The following is an 8042-nucleotide window of genomic DNA, read 5'->3' on the forward strand; positions in this document are numbered from 1 at the left end:
TTCCTAAATACATACATAATATTTGTGCTCATTATAATAAATTTGGTAAAGGGGGGAGATGACTAACAAAATTACCCACAGACTCTGGCAGTGAACAAAATAGAATAAGAACACTATATCTATCTTTCCCATTGACCACAACCAAACACCCTGGATAAAATACCCAAAATAAACAAGCAACTACTCTGAAAATTAATAAATGAATTGGTAAAGACCAAACTTGATAAACAATCTTTATTGGGTGAGTTTCCCAATTAATTATCTCCTCTTTTTTCTTTGTGCTTTGGTCCAAGGGCAGCTCCAGCTTCTGGGCAATTGGTTCAGGCAGCAAATTTCAGAAATGGTCTTTCCGGCCAGAGGAACAGGAAAGGAGCTACTCTTTGCTTTAATGGCAGCCCGAATTGTGCATAACTGTGCAGCAGCAAAAGTGGCTAAAACGCCAAAAAACAAAACAAAGAACATCTTTCAAGACAGGGAACTAGGAAAAGAGAGCCCTGGGAGTCAGATAATAGGGGAAAACTTGCAGAAAGGAGAGAATCGAAAATAGGGATGCCTTAATTCTGTGTGTGAACTGACAAAAGTTCAGCTCAGCCCTGAGCTGTTCATATGTGGGACAGACCAAAAGCAGCATAGCAATGGCTTTTAAAACTCAATTGACTTTGGAATGCTCCCCATGGAAGCTAAGACAGAACTTCCAGTTTGAACCTAACTAGGTTAATTGCCTGCTGAAACAGCCACAACAATAGCAGAAAAGCCAACATTCTCCAGCGTATTGTCATAGGACTCAGAGTCTCATACTATCAAAATGTCCAGGATGTAATCCCAAAATACTCACCTTACAAAGAACCAGGACACCCTGAGAAACTCTCAAGTGAAAAACCATCATCAGATCAACAGATGGAATCCCTGAGATAAACCAGATGTCAGTCAGAGAATAACTATGTAATAGTTCAGTCATTTTGAGTTTATTGAGACTTGTTCACAGCCCAGCATATGATCTATGGGTGACTGTTCCAAGTGTACTGAAGAAAATTGTTTTTTGTTATTGTTGGTTTAGGGTTCTAAGTTCCCACTGACTGCCATTTTTCTGGATTATAGATCCCACTTTCTTCTTTCTTTGCATGTCTAGTAATATTTTAATACTGAACATTGCAAATAATATATTGTAGCAACTCTGGATTCTCTTGTGTTCTTCTGGGTATTTTTCTTTTTAATAGTTGGTTAATTTTTTAAATTCAAACTGTATCCTCACTCTTTCCTGTGGAATGCAGCAGCTGGTAACTGCTTATTGCTCACAGCATCCAGCTGCTGTTTTTCTTACCCTTGTCCACTGAGGGTCTCCGCTGTAACTGCATGGCAATCAGCTGAAGACTCAGACAAAATGTATTGTTACATTTTTAAGCTCACACATCATGGTTACTCTGCTGCTGGAGAGTTCCCCTTAAATTTCCAGATGCTCTACCAGCTTCAGGCTCTTTTCTGTACTATTTCAAACTAGTAAATTTTTAGGTTTTCCTTGCTAGATTGAAATATGAGTTGGGAAATGCACCTAGTTAACAACAACAACAATAAAGCAGCAAACTCACAATCTTACCTGGTGAATCTGTCTTTCAGGACTATATGACTTTTTGGTCTATATTTACCAGACACACAGGGCTCTTCTTTGCACATTTGTAATTTACTGGCCAGTTGGAGATTTCTGCAGAACTTAACATGCAAATTTTGGCTCTCACCCCTTCTGTAGTACTCCTGCTTACAGGATTTCCTTTTCAAATACTCAGCTGCTCCCCTGGTACTGAGTTATTTCCCCTGCATCTTTGACCTGGTTAGGCTGGCTTTTTCTCTTTGTTATACGTGTTCTTAAAGAGAATATCCAATCATTTCCTACCTTTTGTAAACACAGTTTTATAAGAATAAAATTTCCTCTGGCTTTTGTTTGTACTTGAATACTTTCTACTACTTCCAAATAGTTATTTTTTAAAAAATATATTATGTTTCAATGTGGTAACTTTTATTTGTGAGGTTTATGACATCACTTTGTTACCACTATCAGAATTCCTCCCAAAACCCTCCCAAGTCTTTGATCTGCACTCCCTTCACGGGCAAGTTTTCATAGCTGCCTTTGTTTTTGCCTGCTGTAATGGTATTGAAGCTTTAAGTCTAAATAGTCATTTTAAAAGAATTCACTGTCAAATAAATCTTGGAAAGGCCATCTCACTAGAAGTCAGTAGATATGCATTTAACTTGAGCAAGTTGCTTGACTGCCTTGTATCATTGCTTTCTCTTCTAAAACTTAAGGAATTGGATGAGCTATTCAATGACTTATCTGATAAAGTTTCTTTTTCCCATGGCTAAGTCAGTAAACAAGACCTCTACTAATTTATAGGCATAGTGATTGTCTAAGCTAAGTTTTCCTTCTGTTTCCATTTTCCCAGAAGAGAAACTACTGGTCAGCCGAGATGTTCTCAAGAGTTGAACGAAGCATTTTATCTATCTGTTGCTTTCTACATCCTGTTTTCAATTTCAATGCCAAAATGGTCATCAGGCACATTACTCTTAAGGATATTTTGCAATGTGCTCTAGTTTCCCAACCAAGATGTCTCATTTTTCTTTCCTTGATTCGCTGTCAGTTTTCTCCCTTTCTTAATATCTCTGCTATCACTCAACTCTAATTTCCAATTCTTTCTCAGTATTTTAATATCAAGTTGCATTTTTTCTAAATAAAAGAAAAACTATGATTGGCTATCTTGGCCCAGAGTATTTTTACTCTCTGCACAATTTAAAAGATGGATGCTGAACTGTATTTTCTCTGCTGAATGACAAAGTAAACAAAATAAGAAACATGTCAAGAAAGTATCAGGTGTGTTGGTAAGAGGCGGAAAATAACAAGTTGAACAAAGTGTAGGAAGCATTCTACCACACATCATGGTTACTCTGCTGAGTAATTATTCACAGTTTGTGAACACATCACAAACTATGAATAATAGTTTTTGTCATCCTTATTTTTATGTCATATATGTGGAAAAAGTAATATTTATCTTACTAAGTCTAGCATGCTTATTTACTATAGCTGTTATATTTTCATTCAATTTTTTATTTATCAAAAATGTTTAAATTACTACCATCTGCCATGGAGCAGTGAATAAAACAAAGTGTTTCTCACTTATTGTTGCCCCCGCAAGTCACAGGAAGAAGAAAAAGGCTACTTGGAGTTGACAGTGATCATGGGATTCAGTAATTAGGTAAGGCTTCTGGACAAGACAGCAGAAGTAGGTAATTCAGGGATAAACTTCTTTTTAAGATGACAGTATGAGTGATGAAACAGGAAAGGGAAGATGAGGGATTATCAAATGATTTGTTTTGCTATTCTTCCACTGAATTAACCAAATTGTTTCTAATTAAATTTATTAAAATCCTATTACATTTCAAAACAAATACCTGCTAATTTTGACAATTCAAACAAGAGTTAAGTTTGAAATTACTTTTCATAGTTACATTAAAAAAACCAATTGATTGATGTTGCATTATCAGGGAATGAACATCATAATACATTTTCCTTTTATTTATTAAATGAACAGCCAGAATATGTTAAAATGTATTAATCTAATTAATATAAAGTTGATGTATCAAATATTTTAAAACTTATTTGCTTGAATTTACTTGTAGTACACATTGAGATTAGTACGTGTAAATTTTAGAAATATACAATTACATTTTGTGTGAATTTTATGATCAATTTATGAAAGAATTGAGAATATTTATTTAGGAATCTTCTTACATATCTTAAAGTAAATGATGTCTTCCAAAGTAGTTTATTGAAAATTTTATTAAAAATTGATTTTCTGCTAGCACTTCTGTAATACTTTGATTTCGGAGATGCTGAATTTCTGAAGCTGGATTTCAAAATTAAAAAAACTAAGTCTCTCATGGTAGTTAGATTATATAGCTATGCCTTGAATCATGGATAGTATATGTGAATGTGCAACTTTGATTTAATATGAAATATGGGAATACTAGAATTTTTAAAGGATGTGTTGCTTATTTGCTAGTTTGTGAGTATTAGGATAGAGATAAGTGGAATGTAAGACTATCTTTCAAAACCCCTTATCATCCAATCCTTTTATTCTGGTGATGGGGATGCAAAGGAGAGATGAGAATTTCTTGGTAGTAAGAAAAGGTAGAAAGTTGGGGAAACAGAAATATATTTTTAGTAAGAAAATTAGGCTTTCTTTTTAATAACATGATTTATGTGTAGTCGACATTTACATAAATGTTCATATTTTGGTCAAGTAAACTTTTATGTTTCTAAACTATCTTTACTATTATTAATAATATGTAATAAGCTAAGTTATCTTAATATTGGTTATATGGACATTAAACAGATATGATGACTATGTTGCTACAATTTGAAGCTATTGTGCATCTAGATTTATTCATAAATGTAAATATTACTTATCTTAGTAAAATGCTTAACAGAAATTGCTTTTTAAAGAATATATGCTTTCTCCAGGGAATAATTTTGGCCTTGAAAAAACATGTATATATGTTTTACTTATCTTTCAATATTTACATCCCAGTATTTCTGAACAGAGATAAAAATTCTTGCTGTCAAAGGTGGCCGACCAGGAACATGCATTTGTCTCCCATGCCTGCTAAGACCTCACTTAAAAAAAAGATAAGGTGTGTGATTAAGAATAAACTCATAATAGAAAAAAAGAATTGTGGAGGTTAACGTAAGGGAGGATATCATCGTGAAAGGGAAATTACACTGAATTTCTGCAAAACAGGAAGAGGATGAGAAATCACAGTTGGAGGAAACAAACTAAACAAACAGAAACCTGAGGTAGCTTTTGTTCATAGTGAGCTGTTACCAAAATTTTCTCCCATAAAATAAACTCTAGACAAATCTCTAAGGAAATTGAGCAGAGCTTTAGAGAAGAGCTAATCTCTATGCAGGTTTTATTTTGTCATTTGGCATTGCATTCACCAGGAAATCCAGTGCCACACCAATTCAGTTTGCTGACCTTCATACCCACTTGCCTTGCTCCAGTCAGAATTTCCATTCCAGGGAGGTCCGTGTAAGGAAACAGTTTTATATACATAAACCCACACCATGTACCAAAATTTTTAAAAAGGTAGCTCTTTGACAAACGTATTCTATGTTTATTGGATTGGCTTATGCAAATGTAGAGGCCAATTTTAGTAATGTATATCTTCCCAGAAAATTAATGTTTTCATTCATGTTTGAAAATATGTTTAGATGGAGTTTAATCAGGTAGTCAATTTTGATTATTTAAATTTTGTTTGTATCTTGTGGTTATTTCACCATCTTTTAAAAATTTAATTTTTTTATTTGTAATTTTTGTGGGTTCATAGTAGGCTGATATGGTTTGGATTTGTGTCCTCACCCTAATCTCATGTTGAATTGTAATCCCCACTGTTGGAGGAGGAGCCTGGTAGGAGATTATTGGATCATTGGGGTGGATTTCTCCCTTGCTGTTCTTGTAATAGTAAGTTCTCATGTAAGATCTAGTTGTTTAAAAGTGTGTAGCACCTCCTCCTTTACTCTTTCTCCTGCTCCCACCATGTAAGACTTGCCTGCCCTCTTCGCTTTCCTCCATGATTATAAGTTTCCTGAGGCCTCTCCACCTAGCCATGCTTCCTGTACAGCCTGTGGAATTGTGTCAATTGAACCTCTTTTCTTTACAAATTACCCAGTTTCTGGTAGTTCTTTTATTTATTAAATTTTTTTTTTGAGATGGAGTCTCCCTTTATCTCCCAGGCTGGAGTGCAGTGGCACAATCTCAGCTCACTGCAACCTCTGCCGCCTAGGTTTAAGCGATTCTGTGTCCGGACTTGGTGGGTTCTTGCTCTCACTGACTTCAAGAATGAAGCCACAGACCCTCGCGGTAAGTGTTACAGTTCTTAAAGATGGTGTGTCTGGAGTTTGTTCCTTCTTATGTTTGGACATGTTCAGAGTTTCTTCCTTCTGGTGGGTTCGTGGTCTTGCTGGCTTCAGGAGTGAAGCTGCAGATCATCGTGGTGAGTGTTACAGCTCTTAACGCAGCACGTCTGGAGTTGTTCATTCCTCCCGGTGGGTTCATGGTCTTGTTCATTCCTCCCGGTGGGTTCCTGGTCTCGCAGGCCTCAGGAGTGAAGCTGTGGACCTTCCCAGTGAGCGTTATAGCTCATAATGACAGTGCAGACACAAAAGTGAGCAGCAGCAAGATTTACTGCAAAGAGCAAAGGAACAAAGCTTCCACAGTGTGGAATGGGACCAGAGGGGGTTGCCGCTGCTGGCTTGGGCAGCCTGCTTATATTCCCTTATCCGACCCCACCCACATCCTGCTGATTGGCCCATTTTACAGAGAGCTGATTGGTGCATTATACAGAGAGCTGATTGGTCCATTTTGACAGGGTGCTGATTGTTGCGTTTACAAACCTTGAGCTAGACACAGAGTGCTGATTGGTGTATTTACAATCCTCTAGCTAGACATAAAAGTTCTCCAAGTCCGCACTAGATTAGCTAGACACAGAGCACTGATTGGTGCCTTTACAAACCTTGAGCTAGACACAGAGTGTTGATTGGTGCATTTACAATCCTTTAGCTAGACACAAAAGTTCTCCAAGTCCCCACTAGATTAGCTAGACACGGAGCAGTGACTGGTGCATTTACAAACCTTGAGCTAGACACAGAGTGCTGATTGGTGCATTTAGAATCCTCTAGCTAGACATAAAAGCCCTGTTGCCCAGGCTGGAGTGCAATGGCACAATCTCAGCTCTAGATCTTGGAGGCATGCTTCATTCTTTTTTATTTCTTTTTATTTTATCTCTTCTGACTGTGTATTTTCAAATAACTTGTCTTCAGGCTCACTAATTCTTTCTTCTGCTTGATCCATCTGCTGTTAAAGGACTTTGCTGCATTCATCAGTATGCCAATTGCATTTTCAGTTCCAGAATTTCTTCATGATTCTTTGTAATTATTTCATTCATTTTGTTAAATTTACATGATAGGATTCTGAATTCCTTCTCTGTGTTGTTTTGAATTTCACTGAGCTTCCTCAGATTTGAATTCTCTGTTTGAAAGGTAACATAAGTCTGTCTCTCTAGGATTGGTCCCTGGAAACTTACTTAGTTTGTTTGGTGATATCATGTTTTCTTGTATTGTCTTGAAATCAATGTCAAAAAATCAATGTCTGGGAACTGATTTTTTGAGTGTTTTAGGACTTGTTCTGTGACTTAATATATGGTCTATCTTTGAGAATAATCCATGTGCTGAAGAAAAGAATGTGTACTCTGAAGCTCTTGGATAAAATATTCTGTAAATATGTATTAGATCCATTTGGTCTGTAGTGCAGATTAAGTCTGTTGTTTCTTTGTTAAGTTTCTGTCTGAAAGATCTGTTCAGTGCTAAAAGTGGTGTGTTGAAGTTTCCAGCTATTACTATATTGGGGCCTATCTCTCTCCTTAGCTCTAATAATATTTCCTTTATATATGTGAGTGCTCTGGTTTGGGGTGCATATATATTTAAAATTGTCATATCCTCTTCCTAAATTGACCCCTTTATCATTTTATATAGTGACCTTCTTTGTCTCTGATAGTTTTGGTCTTGAAACCTATTTTGTCTGGTATAAGTAGAGCAACTCCAGCTCTTTTTTGGTTTCCATTGGAATCAAATATCTTTTTTCATTCCTTTATTTTCAGTCTATGTGTATCTTTATAGGTGAAATGTGTTTCCTATAGGCAACAGATCAGTCGATCTTATATTTTGTTCATTCAGCCAGTATATGTCTTTTTATTGGAGAGTTTAGTCCATTTACATTCAATGTTATTGATAAGTAAGAACTTACTTCTGCCATTTTGTTATTTTCTTTCTGGTTGTTTTGTGGTCTCTCTTCCTTCTTTCTTTCATTCCTGTATTCCTCTACTGAAGGTGACTTTCTCTGTTGATATGATTTAGTTTCTTGCTTTTTATTTTTTGTGTCTCCATTGTATGTTTTCTGGTTTAGGGTTACCATGAGATTTGCAAATACTATCTTATA

The 8042-nt window shown here is 36.0% G+C and overlaps 1 long non-coding RNA gene across 1 annotated transcript; it reads right to left on the minus strand.

The window, feature by feature from the left end:
* Positions 1-220: 220 nt before the first annotated feature.
* On the minus strand, positions 221-4880 carry LOC105374163 (uncharacterized). Its single transcript, XR_924589.3, has 3 exons — positions 1595-4880; positions 836-906; positions 221-431 (listed from the first exon to the last, which is right to left on the minus strand). It is a non-coding gene; the product is annotated as an uncharacterized LOC105374163 (long non-coding RNA).
* Positions 4881-8042: the final 3162 nt, after the last annotated feature.

The sequence above is a fragment of the Homo sapiens genome, chromosome 3, assembly GCF_000001405.40.
Source record: "Homo sapiens chromosome 3, GRCh38.p14 Primary Assembly".
Taxonomy (NCBI): Eukaryota; Metazoa; Chordata; class Mammalia; order Primates; family Hominidae; genus Homo; species Homo sapiens.